Source organism: Homo sapiens, chromosome 10 (assembly GCF_000001405.40).
Source record: "Homo sapiens chromosome 10, GRCh38.p14 Primary Assembly".
In the NCBI taxonomy this organism is placed as follows: Eukaryota; Metazoa; Chordata; class Mammalia; order Primates; family Hominidae; genus Homo; species Homo sapiens.
This window is the reverse complement of record NC_000010.11, coordinates 49,179,412-49,206,468: the sequence shown is the minus strand read 5'-3', so window position 1 is coordinate 49,206,468 and position 27,057 is coordinate 49,179,412. Positions and strand designations below refer to the sequence as shown.

General features: G+C 38.0%; 1 protein-coding gene across 22 annotated transcripts in view, besides 3 other annotated features; it reads left to right on the top strand.

The window, feature by feature from the left end:
• Positions 15,410–15,629: an enhancer, noted in NCBI's record as "active region_3349". NCBI's record gives its function as "activates an Ori minimal core promoter by ATAC-STARR-seq in GM12878 lymphoblastoid cells {active_cell/tissue: GM12878}" and the evidence as "EXISTENCE:reporter gene assay evidence [ECO:0000049][PMID:35858748]".
• Positions 16,090–16,249: an enhancer, noted in NCBI's record as "active region_3348". NCBI's record gives its function as "activates an Ori minimal core promoter by ATAC-STARR-seq in GM12878 lymphoblastoid cells {active_cell/tissue: GM12878}" and the evidence as "EXISTENCE:reporter gene assay evidence [ECO:0000049][PMID:35858748]".
• TMEM273 (transmembrane protein 273) overlaps positions 18,078–27,057 on the top strand; it is a 33,656-nt gene continuing 24,676 nt past the window's right edge. For all 22 annotated transcript variants that reach the window (XM_017015797.2, NM_001288741.3, XM_011539385.2 and 19 more), the window contains exon 1: positions 18,078–18,175. In XM_017015797.2, the coding sequence (XP_016871286.1) occupies positions 18,133–18,175 (43 nt within the window). In that variant the 5' untranslated portion in view covers positions 18,078–18,132. The remainder of the gene's footprint in view (positions 18,176–27,057) is intronic.
• Positions 26,111–26,190: an enhancer, noted in NCBI's record as "active region_3347". NCBI's record gives its function as "activates an Ori minimal core promoter by ATAC-STARR-seq in GM12878 lymphoblastoid cells {active_cell/tissue: GM12878}" and the evidence as "EXISTENCE:reporter gene assay evidence [ECO:0000049][PMID:35858748]".

Genomic DNA, 27,057 nt, shown 5'->3' with positions numbered 1-27,057 from the left:
AAGATCTGGGCAATGGCCCTTCAGAGAATTAAATAAATGCAAACAATTCAGGGAACAGAAGATTGGTTTTTTTTGCAGCTTCGTTAGGTGCAAGCTGTTGGTCTGAAGTTCTAATGTTATTTTCATTTTTTTCTCTGTCATAACCTGTTTTGAGGTAAGAACAGTTCATACAGTTTTTTTTTTTTTTTTTTTTTTTTTTTTTTGCCAACTTTTGCACAGAGGCAAAGTTGATACGAAGGAAGTCGTTTCTCCCAGAGGACAGTAACAGTAACATTTTAGCTTGCCTCTAATTACAGCCACCATGACAGTTCATATGTTGTAGCAATAAAAATAACCATAAACCTTACATAATCATTAAAGTTAAGCAAACAGCCCCTCACTGCATCATAATGTACAGGTAGTTGCTAATAATCCAGGAACAGCATTGGGGCATTCAAGGAACATCTTTCCTATCTCCACAGTTTCTTAAACAACTTTAGAGACATATTTTTATTAAGTATATGCAAGGCAGATGATCTTAAACCTCAAGAAGAGCGTGCATAATAATTGTGTACTCTTCTAATGCTCTCCGAAGACCTATTCAGAGTCCATTCTGAAAGACAATAATATATCAAGAAGTTCTGTAAACTTCCTCCTAATGAAGACATGCCAATTTGAGACCAAGAATGTGGCCTCAAAGGACAAAATAACCACTGCTCTCAGTCTCTCGGTGTTTTGCTACTTTATTTCAGAGTGATTCAAAATCTAATTAAATTTCTAAACTCTAATGAAATTACAGAAGAAAAATCATTTAGGATTATATTATGTACAATTACTCACAGCTGAAAATTATAGTTACCCTCTTTCACCAAGACAGAATCTCTTGGGAAATCCCTCATTATTTATCCACCATGTAAATCTGACACTTCTCCCACTATTTACCGGTTGGAAGTAAAGCCAAATTAATTAAACGTATATATCCTGAGCTGCAACTAACAGGTGGGGAGGGAGCTCAAGGAGAGGGAGGAAGGATGTGGGCTGAGATCCCCTTAAGTAAGCATGTCTAGGATGTGTGGGGACAGACTGACACTGGGCAGATGCTCAGGGTCTGGAATCTCTTGGGAGCAGAAGCATTGCACATGGGGGGAGTGGGGCAAAGACTTGGATGATGAATTTAGGTGTGGATGTGCATCCCAAGCTTTGCTTGGCTTTGAGAATCTTAGCTTAGATAGAAATATGGGTTAGAGAAGTTCTTGCCAACAGAAGATTGCTTAGGGATCGTGGCCTGGATTTCTGTACTGAAAGAGTTCAATGACTTTATCAATCCACACTAATATAGATAATTAGGAGATTTTGAGTAGTCAGCAGCTGGTTAGTAATTCCATGAAATCCATCTGTTTGAGGTTTTTCATCTCCTTGAATAGAGAGCTTTGAAGGTGTCACCATAGTTACAAATATCATAGTACACTGAAACAAGTTTGGCTTTGGGGGACTTGGACTTCCAAAAATATAGACAAGATAATTTAGACCTTAATTATTCCCATTAGGAATGCCTAGAAAAAATAGATAAAATATATATTTTAAAACATCTGTTTGAAGGTAGCAGAGAGATAACAAGGCAGTGAAGAGTTATGAGAATAAGGTCAGGAGGTAAAACTGAAAAATGAACTTGGACTTTTAAAAGTTTTTCTTCTAGAGGCATCTTTCAATTCCACAAGAGGTGACTGAGAAGCTGAGAAGTGAGTAAAGCTGCAAACAGCTTTGAGGGCTAGAACTCAGAACCCGCCAAGGAAGAGGAACCCTGGTAACCCTCCCAGCTTTGGGTCAGGATGCGGAAGGACTAATCCCTAGGAGAATGGTCAACCAGAAACAAACTCGTCCTTGAATGGTCTGAAATCCAGCTTTAATTCATAATCATCTCGGAAACTGGATTTAGGGGTTGCAGTTTTGCTAGGGAAATGTAGAAGACTGTCAAAAGCAACATGAATCCATTTGAAGGAAGACAACATTGTCCCAAGGTTAAAGTAATTTGATAATTTTTCATTTACAATGTCAGAGTCATTAAAAAATAATGACCAGGCATAAGAGAAGACACAGAATTTTCTGTGGTGTGTTTCAGAACATACATACACACAAACACACAAACATATGCAAAAAAAAAAAGAGGGAACAGCAGGCAATAAAAACAGACCCATAGTTGATTCAGAAACCAGAATATATACTTTCAAAGAACTATGCTTACTTTGCTCAAAGAAATAAAAGATAAAACTGTGAACATTGGCAGAGAACTGGAAAGTATAAAAAAGAATTAAGAAAATCATTCTTGTGATAAATTTCGATTAAGTGAAAATTGTAGAGTACCAGAAGGAGAGGATAGAGAGTATTAAACAGAAACGATATTTTAAGAGATAATGGCTGAGGATTTTCTTTAACTAACAAAACAAATCAAGTTGCTTGTTTAAGAAGTCCTGAAAACTCCAAGCAGGATAAATCAAAAGAAAATTATACTTGAGCACATCAGAGTAAAATTGGTGAAAATGAAAGACAAGTAAAAAGATTAAAGGTAGACAGAAAAAGAAAAAAAAAATCTACAAAGGGGCAAAAATAAGATAGGCTGCCAGAGATATATTTTGGTGACAGTAATGAGGCTTAAACTTCAGTGTTCTTCACTTACATGGGATCTTCTTGGGCATTTCCTAACGTGGTCAAAAGCTCTCATAAAATTTGCTAGTAAGAAATTTTAACTCTAACTGTTAAGACCACTCCTTTTCCATTCCAAGTTCCCTGCATGTACTAATCACTGTGATGGTTGGTGTTAGAGAAGTTCTAGGAATTTTGGGAATCAGGCAGAGGTGAAGGTGAGTTGGGGATTTACTTAGTTTTTGTTTAATGGGATATAGTTGTGTGGTTCTTGGTTACTTTCACATATATCATTATGGTTTAGAAACAGTTCTCAGTACCACACAGAGATATAAAGTCAAAGGTTGCATCAAAGTCTGCATGTGCCTCGTGGTGGTTGGCAGTGGAAGAATGTGGATAGTAGAGAAAAACAAGCAAAGGAATGAGCAAACACAAGGTTTGGAACATACAGGAGCAGAATCTAGTCAATGGAAAATTCTTCCACATCTTATGTCTAATATGCGAGAGAAACTTGATAAGGGTTTCCCCAATTTTGGCAACGATCATAAACATTTTTTTTCTACATTACCAGTAAGAGTGGCACTGAAGAAACTTCTATAAACAATCAGTAACAAAAAATAAATTCCAATCATGTTAGAAGAACTTTCCTACTCTTTATAAAAGATGGTTATATGAAGACACACAAAAGAATATGTAGCAAAAAAATGGAGGAAAATGTATTCTAGTCTTTTTAGGCAGTTAATTAATAAAATATTATTTTGTCTTTTTAAGATTTTTGATATTTGTATTATTTTTAGCTTTTTATAAATTTGTGTTTTTTTGTGATTTATTCTCTCATTCTAAATAAATATTCACTTTTGAACCAAATTTTATGTTCTTTTTCTTAAATTAGCTTTCCCACATTTTGTAATCTTTAGACTACACAATACCTGGATCTTCTACTGCAGACAGCTGTTTTTAAAAAATATGTCTTTGTTTAACAACACATAGACAACAGATTGAGGCATTTTATAAATTTTCATATAAGTTGTTTTATAAATTTTTAATAGTTTTATAATTATGAGGTGTCCCCATAAACAAAAAAGACAATAAAACAATATTTTTAAAGTGATAAAGAAAAATTATTGCCTCTATTTAATTCTGCTGCTATCTAGCAAAAAATATCCCATGCAAATGAAAGTGATAAAGGCTTTTTCAGAAAAAAAGCAGAATTTGTCTGCTTCAGACTCACATTGGAAAATATACAAAGGTATTCTTCAGGAAGAAGGAAAATGCTCGCAGATGGAAGTTTTGAGATGTGGGAAGGAATGAAGAGCAATGAAAAGAATACATTACTATACAAAAGAATCATCATCATCATCATTATCATCATCATCATCATCATCATCATCATCATCATCATCATCATCTCATTATTCTCATCATCACCTAGTAGGGGTTAGCATCCAGCAGGGCAAGGTACCTTCCACCAACAACCCTCATTCCTACCTCACACTCAGTCTCTTTTTTTAAAAAAACTTCTTAGCTATTCTTCAACTTGTGTTTATCTGTATAAGGTTTAAAATCAGCATATGAAGCTCCTAAAAATTCACCTGGAATTCTTATTGTCATTATATCTAAACTATGCATTTCAGACAGCTATCATCTTTAGAATGTTAAATTGTTCCTAATATAAATGTGATGTTCTTTTCATTTATTCAAGTATTCTTTAATGTCATTCATTGGAGATTTATGTCTCCATAAATGACTTGTGCATTCTTCATTAAATTTCCAGATAGTATAAAATTTATGCTATTATTGAGCATGATGTCTTAATATTTGAAAATATTTTTGGATTTATTTTTGATGCCTTAAAAGAAAGCTATTGCTTTATATGGTTGCTTTGTGTTCAAATATCTGGCTTAGCTTCTTTATTAGTTTTTATAATTGTATATTAATGCTGTCGAGATTTCTATTCAGATAATTGTTTCATCTGGAAGTAATAGCAATTTCATTTCTTCTTTTGCAATATCAAGAACTCTTTTTGTTTTTAAAAACGATAAACAGGTTTTGAACTTTATTAAATGTACTTTCTGCATCTGTTCAGATAATCATATAACTTTTTGCCTTTGATCTACAGATATAGTGAATTACACTGATTGACTTTCTTACTTCAAACCATTCTTGAATTTCTGAAACAAACCTTTTTTTGGTATAGTTTATTAGTTTTCTTAAATAAGCAGTAGAATTGTATTGGTTAATATTTTATATAAAAATGTGTATGTTCATATGTGAATATCTTTGTTTGTTCTTCTCTTATCTGGTTTTGACACCCAGCTGATATGAGCTTTTATTAAAATAAGTTGAATAGGTTTTACTTTTTTTACTGTAAAAATTTGTGTAAGAATGATTTGTTCCTGTAAAATTTGGTAGAGACTAATTATAAGGCCCATCTAAACATGGACTTTTTAAAGGAAGAAAGTGATTACCTTTTCAATTTTTAATGGCTTTTGTATCTTTAAATTATCTATTGTTTCTCATTTTAATTTTGACATTTTGTATTTTTACCAATTTTTGTCCATTTCTTTAAGGTTCTTAATTTTATTGTTGTAAATCTTTATAAAATTATTTTTTAAATTCTTGGTATCTTATTTATTTATTTATACATTTTTTCTTCTTTCCCCATTGTAAGTCTTGCTAGATGTCCATTGTATTAGTGTTTGTAAATAACCAGTGTTTTGTTAATCATTTCTGTTGTGCGTCTCCTTTCTCCTCTTTTAACCTTAGTAATAAATCTCTCAGCTTTACATAGGACACGTGAGTGAAAGATAACATTTCCCAACTTCTTTGCAGTTAGGCACAGTTATATTACAAAGTTCTTGCCAATGAGATTTAAGAGGAAATGATGTGTCATATAACTTGTATTCTCTCTTTGTTGAGTATAAATGCATTAGTATGACTTTATTTATAGTGTTATTTAAATTGTCTAACTCCTGCTTATTTTGTCTGCTTGATCTCTCAGTTTCAGAAATAGATGTATGACATTGTCCAGCTAAACCTGTTTATTTCTCCCTGTGGTTCTTTCAGTTATTGCCTTATGTGTTTGAGATTACTTTTTAGGTGACTAAATGTGCCTGATCATTATATTTTCTTTACTTATGTATGTATAATATTCATATATATAATATTCAGTATGTATAATATTCATCTTTCCCATGTCATATGCACCTTAAATTGTGTTTTATCCCATATTAAAATTGCCACCTTGTTTTTATATGTGTCTGTTACATTTTTTGTTCCTTATCGTCATCTTTTATGAATGTCTTTAAAAAAATACGTCTTTGTTTAACAACACATAGACAATAGATTGGGGCATTTTATAAATTTTCATATAAGTTGTTTTATAAATTTTTAATAGTTTTATAATTATGAGGTGTCTCCATTTACATACTTCAATTTTTATTGAAGTTCAGTACACATGCAGGGAATGTATATTCAATATACATGCAGGGAATGTATACATACGGGTACATATCAGAAGAATTTTCACAAAAGAGTACACTGTGTAAAGCTCCCAGTTCATTACCAGCAACCCAGATCCCCTGTGCTCCCTCTCAATCACTCCCACCCCAGCAGAAATCCTATCCTGGCTTTTCAGTGCAGAAATTAATTTGACCTCCTTTTGTACTTTATGTAACATATCTGACTTCTTTTGCTTATACAGTATTATATTAGTGAGACCCACCTATGTTGTTGTATAAAGATGTTGGTTGTGCCTGTTTATTACTGTATAGAATTCGATTGTGTAAATATATAATTGTTTACCTACTTAATTATTAGGCATTGTGATGGTTTCCAGATTTTTGCTATTTCTGTTTGGGCTATGAACATTCTAATACCTTTCTTCTGGTGAACATACACATGCACGTATTTCTCTTGGGTATATGCATAGAAGTGGAATTGCTGGGTCAGAGTGTGTGTGTGTGTGTGTGTGTGTGTGTGTGGGTGTGTGTGTGCGTATTTAACCTTCATTGATATTGCCAAATATTTTAGTGAGTGTACCAATTTACCCTCCTACCAGCAGTATATGAGGGATCTGTTTGCTTGATATTTTCACCAACCATTGGAATTTTCTGTTTTTATCCTTTTAGCTCTTCTGGTAGGTATACAGCAGCATCATATTGTAATTTTAATTTGCATTTCCCTGCTAAAAAATGTAATTGAGCACCTTTTCATATATTTTTTGGTCATTTGGATGTCTTTGTGTGTGTGTGTGTGTGTGTGTGTGTGTGTGTGTGTGTGAAGTGCCTCCTCAAGTGCTCTGCCCATTTTTCTATTGAGTTGCTTGTCTTGTTTTATTGATTCCAGGGAATATTTGCTATAGTCTCCCTATACATGTATATTCTGGAGATGAGGCCTGGGTCAAATACATGCATTATAAATGCCTTCTCCCACTCTAGGTTGTATTTTTACTCTTAATGATGTTTCTTGATGCACAAAATTTCTTAATTTTAATGAGGTGCAATTTATCAGTTTTCTCTGTTATGTATTTTAGATCTTACTTAGGAATTCTTTGTCTACTCCAAAGACACAAAAATATTCTTTCCATTCATATTTATTTTACTTATTTTGTAATTATTTCATAATTTATTTTTGTAGTATTCTTTTATTTTTCCCTTTAGTATGCTTTTTGTCATTTGTTCTTTTTCTCTTTTCTTAGGTTTCCTTGGACAGGCTGAGTTTTCTTTTGTTCGTTTGAAACTTAAGCAGCCCATTTTTATGATTCTGATGCTTATCCCTAGCCTATTATAATCCATCCAGATGTTTTTCTCCCCATTAATTTCTTGAGTTTTGCAATATCTGTATCTTTATTGGAATAAGATAATTTTGTTAGCATAAGTTAACTTCCATCTGACATCCTATCTTCACCTCCATTTAATATCATATAGAATTTTAATTCTTAAAATATGTGTATGTGTATGTCCATAATTATTTAAAAAGTGAAAACAGTGGGGAATATGAAAATGGGGAAAAGAGGGATTTTATTAAAAAAACACATGAACTTTGCGCATTTGTTAATTCCACATTTGGGCAATAGACTTGAAATTTTTGTTTTTGTTCTTGTTTTAACACTAATTTCTAGTGCCTTTCTTTGGTTTCTTAAATTTCTCTTTTCTGGTAAAAGTATTTCTTCTGAGTCCTTTCAAAGAGATTCTGACATTTTGCATGACTGAGACTATATTTTGTCTTTGCCTTTAAATAAGAGTTTGGCTGGATATAAAAGTTTCGGTTTTAAGTTCTTTTACTTTAACTCTCCATTTTATGGACACATCCATTGTTTCATTTGAGATACGGGGTCTAGTCTGATTCATTTTCCCTTGTCAGTGATGTTCATTTTCTCTCTTAAAAGTCTTACAATGTTCTTTTTTTTTCTGTGATGGTATTAAATTTTAGTAAAACACACATAGATGTTTTCCTTCCTTATATATCCTTTTCAACATTCTTTGAGCCATTTCTATGAGAAATTCAATTTATTATTTATTCAAATATCCTTCACACTCTTAATTTTTTTCTCTTTTTCCAATTCTCCATGTATTTCAATGTTGACACTTTTTCTCCAAGCTTCTTCTTCTTTTTTTTTTTTTTTGAGACAGAGTCTCAGCCTGTTCCTCAGGCTGGAGTGCAGTGGCTCAATCTTCACTCACTGCAACCTCCGCCTCCCAGGTTCAAGCGATTCTCCTGCCTCAGCCTCCCGAGTAGCTGGGATTACAGGCATGTGCCACCACGACCGGCTAATTTTTTGTATCTTTAGTAGAGACAGGGTTTCACCCTGTTGGCCGGGCTGGTCTCAAACTCCTGACCTCGTGATCCACCCTATTCTTGATATTTATTTTATTGTTTCCATTCTCTTATTCTTCTTTCTGGTGTTTTCTGAGAGATTTCAGGAAAACCTGAAATTTGAGAACTCAGTAATGAATTTTCTGCTATGTTCTTTCTTTTATCTCCTCCATTGTGTTCCTTATTTACATACTTTCATACTCAGTGACTCTATTTTAATTATTTTTTATGACTGCTCATTCCTGCTCAATGTTTCCAACAGTCTCTCTTATCCCTGCATATTTTTGTGTGCTTACATTAAATTAATTGTTTTACTCCCCGTTCCATTAACTGTAATTCATCATCATCTGTTTAGTTTTTCACTTTTCACTTCAGATGCCCCGTTACCTTCCGTGTGAACTCATATTATTTTAGGACCATCAGCTATGCTGGTTGGTGACCAGCACTGGAGGACCAGCACTGTCCCGGCTCCACGGGTGCCTTGTTAAGGGAGTTGAGAGCATGTTGAGTGTCATTCCTCTGGTTTTAGGATCTGGGTTCAGACACTTCTTATTTGGACACCTAAGCCCACCCCCTAAGCCTTAAAGTTTATCTCTTTTCATGGGGCTGCTCAGAAACTCCACGTGGCCCTGCTCTCAGTTATTATTTCTTCACAGCAACACTGTGGACATGCGTGCCCTGAGAGTGTGGCAAGATGGAGGCAGTGTCAGAAAAGGCTCAGGGGCTGGCCGGTTGGCTTTCACTTGTTGGTATTGGTCTCCTCTACTCTGGTGTCTACCTGCTGTGAACACGTCACCTCCACCTAGCATTGGGCTGCCCTGCTATTCTTTTGCTTCATCCAGGCAAGTGGGGTGAGAGTAGGTCTAGTAGAGGGCTTCCCACAAGCCTGAACCTGGTGCAGGGTGCCCGGCCTCTTCTGCTCCTGGCTGCCAATTCCTACCACGCACACTGATGCCCCGCTGCCTCTGTCTCCTCAAGAGTTTCTCACGGTTTTCAGTTTAGATCCTAGGGCTTCATCCATTTTCTCACTTTTCAGAGAGAAGCCCTGTGCTGATCTACCAGGGACCCTATGCCTGTCCATTCAGGAACCTGTGATAAGTCTCCATTTATTTAAGTCATCCATTATATCTCCCAGTATAGATTTGTAGCATTCATCTTATAGGTCACTCAAAATTGAGCTCATTTTTGTAAATCAACATTGCAAAAAACAACAACAATAGCATTGACAACACACACTTAAATTTACTATGTGTTAGTCAATGTTCAGAACAATTAATTCACTTTATCCTCATAACAACCCTATGAACACATTTTCATCTCTCTTTTACAAATGAAGAAACAAAGACAAAGGTCAGGTCTAGGGTCAAAGTCATCTGGCCCCTGAGTCTATGCTCTTAATCACTACCTTACAGCTGACTCTGAATTTCTTTTTCAAAAGCCTCACTTAACCCCAAGACTGTTTCTCTCTCCAACATTTGTTTCTTCTTTTCCATCCCAAGTCTTACTACTTAGTAAACAATATATCCTGGTGTGACTATTAACCAAGTAGATAGGTCTTTGAGATTGTGTAAGTAAGAAGAGATTTTTCATGTAGGTGCATTTTCAGAATTTTTACCTATAAGATGACACTTTTTATTTTTATTATACTTAAAGTCCTACGGTACATGTGCACAACGTGCAGGTTTATTACATATGTATACATGTGCCATGTTGGTGTGCTGCACCCATCAACTCGTCATTTATATTAGGTATATCTCCTAATGCTATCCCTCCCCGACAACAGGCCCTGCCCGGTGTGAGATGTTCCCCCTCCTGTGTCCAAGTGTTCTCATTGTTCAATTCCCACCCATGAGTGAGAACATGCAGTGCTCGGTTCTCTGTCCCTGTGATAGTTTGCTGAAAATGATGGTTTCCGGCTTCATCCATGTCCCTACAAAGGACATAAACTCATCCTTTTTATGGCTGCATAGTATTCCATGGTGTATATGTGCCACATTTACTTAATCCAGGCTATCATTGATGGACATTTGGGTTGGTTCCAAGTCTTTGCTATTGTGAATAGTGCCACAATAACTTTTTAATACAAAGTAAATTGTTGTCTATATTTAATTCTTGTGATTCCAGAGCTGAATCACATCCAAATTGAGAATTTGTCATTGACTTGAGGCTCATTTCCTAGGCAGAGAAGCCAAGAAACATGTTTATTACTCCTGAGAAAATGAGGTGGGGTTGTGAGACCCCCAATATTTGGTAGTGTTCTCAAGATGCTTCCTGCATGATATAAGATGACCAGATATCAGGACCTCCTTTACTCACGGTTGAGATAAAGAAACAAGGCCTCTGGGTGGCTTGGTATTTTTGCTGTTCTTCAAACTCAATGGGGCTGAGAATGAAGGTCCTCTTTTCAACAGTGAGGAAAATACTGTATGGGCCGTAGTTTCCTAATTTCACACAGCCTTCAGGTGGCCAAATGTGGATGAAATCAGATGTCCAGATTGAAAGAGCTGTTCTGTCCTCCAGCCTCCCTTTGAGCTGGGCTCACAGAAAACCATGCCTTGGTTTCCTTGGCTGGGAGCCCCTGGGCCAGGTCTCCTGGGCTTTAACCCTATGTATTTCAAACATGGCTTTTGTCCATGGCTTTCCCAAAGTCCATTCAGTTGCTCACCAGCTCCTTGGCTCCTATGAGGCATTGGAAAAAAATTGAGGATGAAAGTTGCCCTTAGGTTTTGGTGATTTCATTATTTCAAGACTGATTATGTTAATAATGAAATTTACATTAGTACTTAATGGACTTTATACTTTTTACCATGACCTGGACATATTTGGGAAAATTTAGAACCACAGTATTATTCTTGGGTTAGCAACAGAAGTGTGCATAGCCATACAGAGATAGGGAAAGAAATGAAGCCAGGTGTATGTAAAAGCTAAGAGAGAATTTTTATAATCAGGAAAGAGTATTAAAACAGCAACATATACATATGTATTTATGGTAAAATTGGGTTATATTTATGTGTAAGATTCCCTCTAGACTCCCCCTAAATGCACACATATTCTTATTTTAACTCATATCTTCTGCTAACTATGGGCCGAGGTGATATGGTTTGGCTGTGTCCCCACCCAAATCTCATCTTGTATTGTAGTTCACATAATCCCCATGTGCCATGGAAGGGACTTGGTGGGAGGTAATTGAATCATGGGGGTGGTTACCTCCATGCTGTTCTTGTGATACTGAGTTCTCACAAGATCTGATGCTTTCATAAGTAGCTTTTCCCTGCCTTTGCTCTGCACTTCTTGCTGTTGCCATGTGAAGAAGGACGTGTTTGCTTCCCCTTCTGCCATAATGATAAGTTTCCTGCGGCCTCCCCAGCCATCCTGAACTGTGAGTCAATTAAACCTCTTTCCTCTATAAATTACCCAGTCTCGGGTATGTCTTTATCAGCAGCATGAGAATGAGCTAATACACAAGGTAACCCTGTTCTTTAATTGCAAAAGTTCTTGCACAGATGGGCTGCAGCCACTGACCATGTCTGCTTCCAATCTTCAGCTTTCTTCTTTCCCTAGAAGCAGGTATCCACACCCATTTGCTTACTGAAAGTCAGGCGAGGTGGTAATGAGAAAGGAACTCTCATTTCCTGGTGAACACCCTTCTGCTTGGTTACCATTGTGTCAGATGTGTGCCAATTTTGGTCGTTTCCTGTCTTTCACTTGTTGTTTTGACCTTCGATTTCAAATAATTCGGTAGCGAGCATCCTTAAATATCCATCCATATACTTTTGTTCAATCATTTCCTTGAACTATGTTCCTTAAAGTAGAATTAATGGATCAAAATTGGGGTAAATTTTTAAAGCTAGAATTGCTAATTGCTAGAATGCATGAAACCGTTACAATGTCTATCAACACAACCTTGCTGGCTTTAATATTTGTTTTAGTTACTTCTTAATTATGCAATCTTCAATAAACATCAAATTCTCCATAGTATATGTAGGTTTTGAATAAGGACCTTTGCCAAACCTTTGAGAGTGAAATGTGATGCTATTATAATTGTACTAAGATAGTGGGCATAAACCAGGACTTAAGGAAAAACTCAGAGTCTGACCTTCCTACTAACAAAACAAATACCCATGCACCTACCTCACGATTAAAGAGCCAGACCATTACCTCTGCATCTTACTGTCTGTTCCTTCCTCTCCCCTCCCTCTGCCTTGCTCTGAGAGATTAATCTCTCCAGAATGTTGTGTTTATCATTTTCTAGATTTTTAAAAATACTGTTTAATGAAGAATATATAGGTATCTTTAGGTTCTTTATTGTATAGTTTTGCTTGGTACTGTGCTTCATAAAATTAATATCATTCTGGTTATACTCTTTCACAATTTGATTTTTCATACAATATTGTTTCTAAGACTTACCCAAATTGTCCTAGGTTGCTGTCATTTATTCATTTTATAGCTATATGCTATTCCATTATAAAAATGTATCATAAATTATTTATCCATTTTCCTGTTGATAGATTTCATGGTTCCTCCAAGGTCTTTTTTGCTGTGACCAATTATGCTCTATGAACATTCTTTTCTGTGTTTCTGAATGTACATGTGTGAGAGAGTCCCTGGGTATATGTTCAGGAGGAGTACTGTTGAATCACAGGATACACTAATCTTCAACTTTACCAAAGAATAGAAAATTGCGATATTACACCATATTTTTTCACATTCTCACTTACGTTTAATATTACCCAAGATTTTGATTATTGCCAATCTGGAAGTGTAAAATGGTGTCTCACTGTGGCCTTCATTTTCATTCCTCTGACTACTAATGAAGTTGAGTGGAAGATGGTATTGACACCACAGATTTATTCGAGACAAATCCCCAACTTAAGGATTTTTGAGTTTTTCTATCCATGGTGACACACTTTTTGTTTACTTAGATCCTCTTTAATGCTATGCACTAGTGCTTTCTCCATGTGTCTTGAGCAACTTTTGTTAGATTCATTATTCATATATCTAAAACAAATGTATTATATATTTATTATATTCCTTAAATATGTATATATATATATTATTTTTGGTCATGTGGTCTAATTATTACTATTAGTTTTTATGTATTTATTTAATTAACAAAATTGTATGTATTTATCAGGTACTTGTTATTTTAAAATACATATATATTATGGAATAGTGGTTGTGTAATTTTATATTTTTTAATAACATGTTTTCTTTTTGTTACTAGTATATACAAATTAAATTGATTTTTAAAAATACTGACCTTGCATTCAGCCATATTATTATTTTTAACAATTAGTCCTGGAGTCTTAAAGGCTTTCTGTGTAGACAAACATATCAACTAAGAATATAAATTTTTCTTCCTTCCCAATCCTCATTATTTGTATTCCTTTTTTTTTTTTTTTTTAAATTGTACTAATGAAACCTTAGACAATTTTGAATAGAAATAGTGATAAAGGGCATCTTGTTCCTAATTTTAAAGAGATTGCCTCTTTGTGGTTCACCATAATGATGACGCTTGCTGTTATATTTTAGCAGATATCTTTTCATTAGATCAAGAAAGTTTTTATCTATTTCTAGTTTATTAGGAGTTTTTATCATGAATGCATGATGGATTTTATCAAATGCTTTTCTGTACATATTAGCTAATTTAACTTATTTTCTGTTTTAATCCATTAAAGTGGTGAATGACTTGGTCATAGTAGTTTATTCTCTCTCTCTCTCTCTCTCTCTCTCTCTCTCTCTCTCTCTATATATATATATATATATATATATATATATATATATATATATATATATGTCATTACATTTGATTTGGTAATTTTTAAAAGGATTTTGGCCTCTATGTTATTTAGTGAGATTGGGATATACTTTTATTTTCTTGCTTTCTTCTTGCCTGGTTTGGGTAAAAAGATTATCCTAGACCCACAGAACAGTCAGAAAATACTCATTTTATTTCTATTATCTGAACTAGTTTGTTAATATTGTAATTTCCTAGTCCTTAAAGTTTCTAAAATTTTTGTAAAATTCTGTAAAATAGTTTGGAATGATATTTTCTTTGTGGCAAGATTTTTAACTATTTGATTCAATCTTTTGAAAGGCATCAGGACCTTTCTGTCTTGCTGTTTTTGTCTAGCACATTTCAGTAAGTTACACTTTCCTGAGATTGTGTCCATTTCATCAAAGTTTTCAAATTCATTGGCATAAGATTGCAAATAATGCCATTATTGCTACCTTTTTGGACTTATTTATTCTTAATATTATTTATTTTTGTCTTCTCTCTTTTTAAATCCATTCTGTGAGGAATTTTTCATATTATTAGTTTTTTCAGAAAAAACTTTTAAGATGTGTTTATCCTCCCCATTGTATCTTTGCTTGCTTCTGGTTCATTCATTTTTGCTCTCATATTTATTGCTTCCTTTCTTCTGCCTTTTTTCTGGGCTTATAATTTTTTCAAACTTCTCTGACTGGTTGCTTATCTCATTCCTTTTTCAGTTCTTCTTTTCTAAGTATTTACATCTATGCATTTCCTTTTAATTATTACCCGGCTTGCATTCTGCAAAATCACATGTGCAACATTTTCATTATCATTCAGTTCCAGCTATTTGTAATTTTCACTGTAATTTTTTCTTTGATCTATGAGTTACTTAGAAATGTTTTAAAATTTCCAAACCAATGGAAATTTCTATCATGTATTTTTGTTACTGTCGTTTAATTCAATTACCTTGTGGTAAGAAAATATGGTCTATATGTCACCTTTTCTTTGAAATTTTTGAGACTTGTATTATGGCCCAGTGTGAGACCGTTTTGGGGTATAAATGTTGCATGCATGCTGAATTGAATGGCTATTTTCTAATTGTTGGGTGCACAGTTCTATGTAAGGCCAATAAACAAATCTGCGTGCTGAATCCTCCCTATCTTTAAATTTGTAAAAATCTGATGCGTAATGATGGTGTTTGGCAGTTTTTTGTGACTTGCACTAAAGGCGTTCACATGAGACATGAATTCTACGAGCTCCCTGGCTGGTCCTGAGGGTGCAGTGCTAAGGACAGAAGAGTCCCAGGCTTGGTGGCCTTGGAAGAGGCCCCACATCCGAGTGAGGGGCAGGATGTCAGAGCTGCCGGAGTGGGGCTCATTCTTTTCTGCTTGTCAGTGCAGTGACCTTCCTCACCTAGATGACCTGGAAAATATTCCTGCCAGGTGGGCTGGAGGCTAGGCCGGCTGAGCATGAGATAAGAAAGTGAAACGACTTCTTTTTTTTTTTTTTTTTTGAGACAGAGTTTCACTCTTGTCGCCCAGGCTGGAGTGCAGTGGCGCAATCTCGGCTCACTGCAACCTCTGCCTCCCGGGTTCAGGCGATTCTCCTGCCTCAGCCTCCCAAATAGATGGGGTGAATTGAATTCTTCATTCAACAAACACCGCTAGGAGCCTGCACTGTGTCAGGTGCTAGGCCAGGTGCCCTGGGCCCTGCCCTCACAAGCTCCTGGGCCAGTGTGAGCCAGTGCCAGGAGCAGCCTCACGGTCAGAACTGGGCGTTCATTACAGGGGTACAGGGTGGGGCATCCGCTCTTCTGGGTGCATTGTGCCACGCCAACAAGACACACACCATCTTGCCAAGGTGCCGTGGCTGGGTGCCAGGGCATCTCGTGAGATTCTAGTTTACGGGGCGTTTTGAGCCTCTGCCTGTCTAAGCAGGGAGCAGACTGCATTTTCCAGACTCGGAGGCTACGGCAGAGTGAAAGCAGAAGTAGCTGCAGATGCTTCCCCTCCTGGGAGTATGTAGGACAGGTCGAGCTCCCAAGGATGTTTGGAGAGGTGTTTGGGAGCAGAAGTTCATGCTGGTGTTTAGGTTGACTCATCCCATGCGAAAGTATTTTGAAATCAGTTGCCGACATTTGAAACTTATTGATTTCATATAAAAACAGAACTGCCTGGTGTGGCTGGAAGCCCTGGGCCTGGCCTGAATGTAGCTCCACCGTCCCCAGCCACTGTCTACAGATTGTCAGGTCTGCACTGGCATTTTCTTTCAATACACTTAGAGGAAAGTGAAATATTTTTCTTACACATGTTCCCATGAACTGGGGCAAAATTAAGAAAACTCCACATATTCCAGGAGAAATAAGAGAGTATGTTTCTTGGTGCAGGTAGAAACTGATCTTAATTTCATCAAATGAATAAAGTGTGGACAGATGGAACTTGAAGGCACCCAGATGAAGCCAATTGCTTCTCTCATGACCAGCCTTCTCCTCTCATGTCCATTATTTATGTGAAACTCAGAAGGAGCCACAGCAGCCATGCAGAAGAACCCAGGGGGCATCTGTGGCACCAGGGCAATCGGACTGCCTCTGGCTGGACCTTGGCAGGGGATGGTACCTGTACACAGAGGGCACATGCAGCCTGAGGGGCATAGGCTGCCAGCCAAAGGCCTGGGTTTCGAGTCCAGCTCTCACATTTACTGCTGCGTGGACTTGGACAGGTTGCATGCTAAGATGGCATTGGGCTCAGTAGCAAGTGCTCACGGTGTTGGCTGCTACCGTTAGGGATTTGACTGAGGGAGCCCAAGAATGAAAAGAGCTCGATTTCTGCCAGCTCAGTTGGGTGGGGGACTCAAGACTTGTCATTAAGTTGATTTATATTTTAAAAAGTGACATTTCCTGCACATTTGGGTTTTTGGCTGAACATCTAAGCATTGTGACAACGTGCAGGTATAAAGGAGTACAGGAGCATAAGGCCTTCAGCCTGCTGGCTGAGCCTGTGTGACTACCAAAGTTCCTCCAGGCTAAGGACCTGGACATGGGGCCTGTAAACTTGGATGGGAAAAAAATTACATCTCTGTTCTCTAACCTCTAAGGAACACTTAGCATCTTCTTCTAATAGTAGTGTGGCAAACGAACCACAGAAACATTACCACCCAGTAACTTTATTTCTGGTAGGAATCACAGGTCTTTCCATCCACATTCCAGCTGTTACAGGTATCTCTCAATATCGATTCCATTTATCACCATGTCGAGATGGTGGTAGCTGTTTCATCTGCTGCCAGATCTTGCTATTTACTGTGTGGATAAATAAGCATGTATATTTCTACTTCACAAGTTTAACAAAATATTTTGATAACTGTGTGTTAATACTACTGATTTCTACTATGATCCTTATCTATTTTAGTTTGGGGATTTAAAAATCTTATTCTGAGAAGAGAGTGATAGGCATTCCTAGACTCAGAGGCTCCCATGGCACAAAAACAGTGACCGAGCTGGACTATTGGCTGGAGGGGCATTTCCTATTTCTGCTCCAAGGCAGAGGCTACTGCAAGGGCTGGACTGCAGGGCAGACCGGCTTTGCCCACATTCCTCTCTGAGACTTACTAGCATGGGTCATTAGGCAAGAAACCGCACCTTACCGAGCTTTGTTCCCACACTCTGTGGGGAAGATTATAGGAGAGAACACTGGGTATAATACCCCAGCATGTACAATGGGTCTAATCACAGCCAGCTTCTGGTGGAGTCCAGAATGACAGGGGCTTCCTTCAGCCCTGTCTTCAGAGAGGCTGAGAGGAACTGAACAGCCTCCTGGCTGTGACAGTGGTTTCCTTCCCCATCAGTCACGTGGGTCTTGTCCTGTCCCCAGAGCCTTGGGTCACATGGCTCATTGTGCCTGCGCTGCCAGCAGCCAGGAGCCAGGAGCCAAGAGCAGAGCGCCAGCATGAACTTGGGGGTCAGCATGCTGAGGATCCTCTTCCTCCTGGGTAAGTGGGGACTGCGGGGGTCTCTGGCCCGGGGGAGCCTCAGTGGGCAGGAAACTGGGGGAGCCTTAGCCCACTGGGGCTTGATCCCTAAAACATAACTCTGTCCCTTTACACAGATGATGTTTCTCACTTTGATCTGGTAGTGAGCAATGATCTTGTTTGTCTCATTCCAGCTGCAACTTACAAATGCTTCTGGGCTAAAGGAGAATAGGAAGGGTCATGGCAGAAGGAGCTTCGGGCTTGGGATCTAGAAACATCTGGGTGTAAACTGTGGCTCCATTGCTGATAAACTAGAATAAGCTTCTGAAACTCCCTAACTTTCTGAACCAATGAGATGGGAGATAATCATGTTTACTTTTTGGGATTTCAAGAGAGTTAAGTTAAATTTAATTAAGTCAAATCAAAATACTGACATAGAATGAGAACATGTAGGCATGTAGATACTGGTATACATTTAATGTTGAATCAGAATTCTCATGCAGTGAAGCAGACTCTTTGCTACTCAGAGGTATCTTTGTTTTTAAAAATTATCTTTAATGCATTCCTTGAAAGAAGGAAGAAAGGAGAGAGGCAAAGACTAAAACAAAGTAGGGCCAAATGGAGGAGAGAAATATAAAGTCAGAGAAGTAGACAGAGAGGAAGAAACTCAAAGAGAGAGAGAGAGAGACAGACAGAGACATAGAGAGATGGTTAGAAATATGCATAGATGGAGACAGAGATGGAGAGAGACACATGCCTTTACGAAGTCCCCTCTGATATCAACTGTTGTTTCCTAAAAAGGCAGCATACGTCCCTCATATATACAAAGACGTTCCTTCCCAGAACTTGCACTGGGCCGAGACTCAATGGGAAGCAGTCTGTCTCCAGATTAAATCTTGTGTCTCCAGACCAATAGGTTGTATCCTGAATGCGGGCAAAGTTAGTGCTGTGGGCAGGTTTCCATCTAAAGTCTGCACTAAGCAGGGGAGAGCAAAGACTTTGGCCTTGGGAGTCAGCATGTCAGACAGACAGCCAGCCACATCATCCATCAGTTTACACATGGAAACGGGCCGTTGGCAGTGACTGTGAAGGGATGTCAGGCACCAGCAAGCAGCGATTAAGGGTGTGCACGGTGGTTAGATGCAGTGTGCCTGCCCAGAGACGTGGTGGAAGGTAAGAGAAGTTGTAACCCTTATTTCTGCTTTTGACTTACCTAGATAAACAAACTAGTCTGTCCTGGTACAAAAAAAGGAAGTTAAATTTAAGAAATCCAATGAAAAATGTGCAAATTATATAAACAGGCAATTCATTGAAGAATCACAGACAATAAAACTTTAAAATGTCCAGTCTCACAAATAATAAAAGATCTAACACCTCCTCGCATTTTTTAGTGTGTCGATGTGCTGGGTGCTCTGCTGAAGATGTTACATGAGCTCATTTGGTTCCCACAGCAACTCTGTGCAATAGGTGCCACAATTACCTGCATGTTATAGATAAGGTTTTAATCACTGGGCCAAGGCATCACAGCTCGTTTCTGCTTTCATATACTATTGATAGAGGTACACAGTGGTTAGGAGTGGGTATCCAGTACGAGACTCCTTAAATGTTCATCCCTGTTCTGTTGTTTACCAGCCTGGAAAACTTGGACAAAGAATTAATCCTCTCTGTGCCCAGTTTTCTCATCTGTAAGTTGGGGACACCTCACAGGACTATTGGGAAAATGAAATCTGTTACCACATTTAAAGCACTTAGCATGGGATGTGATAAGTGGTGAGCACTCACTATTGGATATGAGGGGACTCATTTATTCACTCTCTCCAGAGGGCAATTTGGCAAAATCTGGGTGTCAATGTAAGCGAAATGTAAGATGTTCATAACCCTTCACCCAGAAATTCCACCTCCAGGAATATAACCTGATGAAATAATATGGTAAAACCCTCCCAAAATATTTCACAGGGTATTATTCAACACTGCCGAAACCACGGTGGGAACCAGAAACAAGAGACTATCAGTAGGAATTTGACTAAGTTAATTATGCTTTAGTATTTCCAACAATATCCAATATATTTAGTTGAAAGACATGCCTTTCTATGAGCTGACACGGATGAAACAGAAGTGATGAAGTGATAGTTACAGGTTAGAGTTCCGTAGTAATATTTTGCATGTGTTTAGTCTCCTTCTTCTTCCTCTTTTTCTTCTTCTTCCTCTTCTTCTTCTTCTTCTTCTTCTTCTTCTTCTTCTTCTTCCTCTTCTTCTTCTTCCTCTTCTTCTTCTTCTTTTTCTTCTTCTTCTTCTTCCTCCTCCTCCTCCTCTTCCTCCTCCTCCTTCTTCTTCTTGAGATGGAATTTTGCTCTTGTTGCCCAGGCTGGAGTGCAATGGCGCGATCTCGGCTCACCGCAACCTCCACCTCCTGGGTTCAAGCAATTCACCTGCCTCAGCCTCCCGAGTAGCTGGGATTACAGGCACATGCCCCCGCACCTGGCTAATTTTGTATTTTTAGTAGAGATGCGGCTTCTCCATGTTGGCCAAGCTGGTCTTGAACTCCTGACCTCAGGTGTTCCGCCCACCTCGGCCTCCAAAAGTGCTGGGATTACAGGCGTGAGCCACCGTGCCCGGCTATCCTTTATCTTCTTAGGAAAAAGAATTATACAGCATCTTAATTTCTCTGTATTGGCATTTTTCATAATGATTGTATATGTTGTTAATTCCAGTAAGTAAATGTTTGTGAACAAAAAGCGAATATGACAGCCTGTTGAAAGCAAATGAAGGAAACGTTGGGCTTCCCCTTTATTGACTGGAGAAAGGGGCCTAGAGCACTGTTTAGTGCAATCTACTGGCAGATGGGGGTCTGTGAGGGTGGGTGACCAGGCCAGTCACCCAGGGTGTATGAGAACTGTACCTCAGGGGACTTGGGGGCTATGGGGGCACTCTCTGTCCAGTCCCTCTGTGGCATCCAGGATCCCAAGTATGACCGGGGGACCCTGGGATGAGAAGCCAGGCCAGTCTTTCCCACACACAGAGTAGGTAGAAAGTTTTTAAAGAAACAGTATTTGAATATTCTTTAAATATTTTCAAACACTGAGATTAATGGAACAGACATTTATGGAGCCAACACTCTGAATTACCAAATGTTAAATTTTTTTCTAGATATATATTTAAAGGTAGGTAGCTAAATCAATGTATCCATCAGAGAAACAGAACATAAGAGGTGGAGTTTGGCTCTCTTCCTCCTCTTGTTTTCCTCCCTCCCCAGAGGGAGAGGCACCCCAGGGTTGGCTGTGCTTCCTTCCTGGGTTACTTTGCAGCTGTTAAAAACTGCAGGAATCCGCCATAGCATACTGAACACGTTGCATTATCTACCCGTTCTGATAATATGGGTCAAATGCATTCATCCCAACTACTCTACAAGTTTCCACAGAAACACTGCCATTTATCTGATTATTTATCCATTCCCATACTGTCAGAATTTAGGTTGTCTCTAACTTGCAGCCTGATGGCTGAGGCTTCGATGAGCCCTCTCGCCCCACCTCCTGGAACCCACCTGCAGCTGGTTTTCTAGCAGACACCCCTGGCAGGGGAAATGTCGTGTCAATTCTCCTTTTGTTGGATATTGCCAAATTGCTCTCCACCAGGGGGTTGTGGCCATATCTGTTCCTTACATACTCAGTAATACTTGATACTGCCCAACTTCTCAATTCTTGACAATTAGAGAGGTATAAAATTTTATCTCAAAGTTTTTATTTTAGTTTGTGTGTTCCTAATCACTACTAGGAATAACTACTTTCTCTGCATTATCAGACAGCCCATTCTCCTTTTCTGTAGATTTCTGATTTTATATACCTTTCTCCCAAGTTGTATTTGATTATTGGTCTTTTATGTAGTATTCTGGATATTAATTATTTGTATGTTTCATGTGTTCCAAATATCTTCTCTCAGTATGTTGCTTATCTTTTATCTTTGTGGCTTCCTTTGTTGTGAGAAGTCTTTCAGCGTGATGTAATCACATTTATTGGTCTTTTCCTTTTTGTGTGCTTGGTTTTTCTGTGTTAAGAAGCATTTTAAAAAGTTATTTTTACTTTAAAGTGGTTGCATTTTTTATGATTAGGTCTTTAATTTATTTGGAATTTATTTTTATTTACGGCCTAAAGAAAGGATCTAATTTTAATGTTTTCTGTATGGGACATCAGTTGTTGCAATATCACCTGTGTAATGATCTTTCCTTTCTTTGCTTTGCAATGATTCTATATTGCAAACATATTCTATGTCTATTCTGTACCCATTTAATATGTCTGAACCATTAATGGGCTTCATCTTCTGTGCCACTTTTTGCATCTGTCTCTCTTTGAATCATGCCACAATGTTTTTTTTTTTTGCTATAGCTGACTAATCTTGATAGATGAAATATCTACTGCTTGTCACTGTTGTTGCTAGAATCATTTTGGCCCTTAATTCACTTCCTCTTACATGTAACACTCTTTCCTGGAAAGTGTGATAAAATTTCACTTCCTGAGAGCCGACCGTGGGCCAAGGCTGCTCTCAGCACTCCCACGTGGACCCTGTTCATTTCTCAGCCCCAAGGCAGATACTCTTATTGTAGTCATGCCCATTTTTCCAGACAAGGAAACTGAGGCACAGAGAGATTAAAGTAGCAGGTGAGTGGCCCAGTTGGGATTCAAACTGAGGCATTTTGATGCCCCAAAGCTGAATTTTTAGCTCTAATGCCAAACTGCTTCTTAGTCAGGAATAGAAAGGACATTGAAAAAACTGAAGTGACTTTTTAACTTTTTAAAAAATTTTTTTATTTCAAAATAATTCAAACTTTCAAGAAAAGTATAAGAATAAAAATAGTACAAAGAACACTCATATGACTGCCTATTTTAAATAATTTATCTTATTTGCTTGATAATATATTGCCTCTTTCTCTTTCTCTCTCTATACACACACACACACACACACACACAATTTGTTTCCTGAAACAATTGAGGTAAATTTTGTATACCATGGAGTTTCTTTTAACCCTTAAATACATCAGTGTTTATTTCTTAAGAATATATATACCACAGTACAATCATCAACTTTAGGAAATTTAATGTTGACAAAATACTTTTATATAATCTATTTATCATATTCTAATATTTTCAAAGGATCCAATAAAGTCCTCTATAGCCTTGGTTTTGTGTCCAGGCCAGGAACCAATCTAGGACAGGTATGGCGGGGGTGACCAACTGTGTCACATTAGCCTTCCTTAATCTGGTACAGCCCCTGAGCCTTTGTTTGTCTTTCATGATAAAGATATTTTTGAAGCGCACAGCTTTCAAACCCCACCTTTTTTCCCCACAGAACATTCCTCATCTTGGGGTTTGCCTGATAGCCCCTGGTGATTTGATTCGGGATATCCATTCCCTTCCAGAAGACTGCATGGCCAACACTGTCCTTCTCAGCTGTCTACACTTAGAGGCACGGGATGCCTGAGGAAGGCTGATGTATTTTTGCCATCCTGATTAAAAAAACCTTAAAACTAGGTTTTGGATTATGGTTGTCACAATTCTAAATAAATTTCTACTTAAATATCAACCAATCAGTATTTTTAAATTTTGCTAAAATATTGATCTAAGACTAGCTATTGAAAATATCTGGTGAAATTTCTAGGCATTTTATTAGAGGTCTGCATCTTCCTTTTAAAAAAGCTGTCATATAAAATATTCCTGTGGACTCTAATTCCATCCAAAATGTCGGCCATCTATCTCAGTTTTAATTCTGTTGGCAAGCATCTGCTGAAATCTATGTATTATTATAATCATGATAATAAGAGAGATACAATATCACTTTAATTACATTCCAGGGCCTAAAACATTCTTCACTGAAGGAGCCAGAGTTATTGAAGAGAGCAGAGTCTTTTTTTTTCTCCCTTAATTTATAATGAAAAGATGGCAGAGGCCCGGGTAAAGAGAATTAAATTCGTTTTTATCTTACAAGTCAAAGTCATCACTTTATTCCTTGGGTCTGAGTCCCTGAGATCTTTGTAAAAATTTTTCCTGACAGCTGTTCCCCTGTTCCAAGTTCCTGCCAAGACAATAGTTCAGAATTATGTGGTGTGTGAATGTTAGTAAGGAAGAATCCTTGGTACATTTGTTTTATTTTGCTGCATAACAAATCTCTACAAACGTAACAAAAAACGAATACACCAGGGTCTCTTGCAAGTCAGCAGAAGGTCAAGGAAGAGGCTGAAACCTCAGGTAGGCAAGAGATACTTCCTGATAGGGCAAGAGTTCCCCTAATGACTTCTGCCCATTTTTCTAAATGAATTGCTTGCTTTTTTCTTTTACTGTTGAATTTTAAGAGTTCTTTATATACTCTAGATATTAGTCCTTTGTCAAATATGTGGAGTGCAAATATTTTCTTAGTCTATAGTTTGTCTTTTCATTCTCTTAACAGGGTCTTTTACGAACAAAAATGTTTAATTTTAATTGCCTAACTTATTAATCTTTTTTTTCGTGGACTGTGCTTTTGATAGCATGTCTCAGAAGTTTGCACCAAACTCTAAGATCTCAAGATTTCCCCCTAAAATTTACATAGTTTTATGTTTTATATTGAAATCTATGATCAATTTTGAGCTCTTTTTGTTTAAAGTATGAATTTAATCAAGGTAATTTTTTAACCTTGGATATCTAATTGGTCCAGCACTGTTGGTTGAAAAAATGATCCTTCCTCTATTGAATATATTTTGCCCCTTTGTCAAAAATCAGTTGGTCATACTTGGGTGGGGCTAATTTGGGGTTCTCTTTTCTTTTCCACTGATGTGTCTGTCCTTCTGCCAATCCCACACAGTCTTGATTTCTGTAAATATATTAAGTCTCAAGGGAGTAGAGTGATTTCTTCTACTTTATTCTTCCTTTTCAAAAAAGATTTTTCGCATTTCTCTTTCCTTTATCTTTCCATGTAAATTTTAAAATAATCTTTTGTACATCTACAAAAACAGTCTTGCTGGGCTTTTGATGGGAATTGCATTAAACCTATAGATCAATCTGGGGAGATTTGACATCTTTATCATGTTGTGTTTTTCCATGAACTTGGTATGTGTCTCCATTTATTAAGATCCTTCTGGATTTTTTTCTTCAAGGTTGTGCTATTAGACTTACACCTGCATAATTTATGAGTGATCGTAAGTTGTGTTGTATTTAAAGTATTTCTTTCTGTGTATAATTGTGAGCATATGGAGACATCATTGATTTGCATATGTTAATCTTATTGTATTCCACCACCACATACTCTAAAGAGAGTTATTTTTCAGATCTCTCGAGATTTTCTATGTTGACTGTCATGTTCTCTGCAAATAGGGTTAGTCTTATTTTTTCCTTCCTGAATAGTATGCCTTTATTTCCTCTCATCTTACTAGGCTGACAAGAACGTTAGTACTAGGTTGAACAGGTGTGGTGACGGTAGATATTCTTGCTTTGTTCCTGATCTTAGTAGAAAAGTATTTTGTTTCTCACCATGAAGTTTGGTTATAGCTGTAGGTGCTTTTGCAGATATTCTTTGTGAAGTTGAGGAAGTTTTCACAATTGTTCATGGAAGCAGTTTTATGGCTACTTTGACACCTCTGTCAGATGACTCTAACTCTGTATCATCGAGGTGATGGCATCTGTTGATTTTTTTTTTCATTCAAATAGAGATTGTCCTGGTTCTTGCTATGACAAATAATTTTCCACTGAAACCTGAACATTTTGGATTTGATGTTATGAAACTCTGAATCTTATTGACGTCTTCAATTTTAACAGGCCTCCTCAGATATCATTCTGTCGAGAGAAAAGGGGCATTTCCTCATAATTGCTAGGGGGGTGGAGCCTGACATCCTCTCTGGCCACCACTGACACCTGATGGGAGAAGGGCTCTGTGTTACTGTGGGGTGGGGTGCAGGCTAGGTTCTAGGACATAGCTCTAGAACCTGCTCAGTAATTAGCACTTGTTTGAGTCAATTATTGCCAGAAGTGGAACGTCAGCCTCGGGCTTGGGTGGGCTTCCCCTTTAGCACTTGCAGACAGCACCCTGCTGGGAGTACCCAGGCTCATCACTGCTCTTCATGTGTCCCTTGCTGACACTGTGGGGTGGGGGTAGCCTCGTGGTGGCTGGGCAGTGTAGGACGTCCTGACTCTTTCCTAGCAGGAAGGGTGAGAGGCACCTTGTCACTGCCAGGAGCAGGTGAAAGAGCAGGATCCCACAGGGTCTCCACTGATACCCCTGGGGGCGGGGACTTTTTCATTCATTGGGCATGAAGCCCTCTCTTCCCCATGTGACCCTCTGACACCACCCTCGTTGGGGAGTGGGGGCTCCTTATAACTGAGCAGTGAGCGTGGAAGCCCAGGTCTCCACTCGGCCTCTGTTGATGAGGGTGGGGCTTGGGGTGAGGGCACAGTTTTTTCTGTGCTGTTTGACCGTTGTGGAGTGGTTATCACCTAAAAGTCTTGTCTTCCTAGGCTGCACCTTTCCCAGTCTTTGGCTCGTGGGAGCTGGCTTTTCTTGGGGCTTCTGTGTTTGTGCCCATTGGCATTACAGGGTTGCCAGCTTCTCCAATTCCCATCTGGGACATCTGAGGCAAAAAGAAAACCCAGAAATTCACTGCCCTGTTATTCCTGAGTTCTGAAGGTGCCTAGCCAGTCTGCCTTCTTCTCTCCATTTTTGGGGGTCTTTTTATATTTGTTTTTTTAATATAATATTTAGGGATTTTAGCTATGCTTAGTGAGAGGAATAGGGAAAAGTAAACCTATTTCATCTTTCCAGAAAAGTAAGTTTGAAAAGAGTTCTGGAGGATGGGTGATTTGGAGTAATGCTCTTTGGGGAGGGACCCTGGGCTGGCAAACCTCCCTCAGACACACAGTCCTGATTCTAGAGGCCCCTGAAGGGAG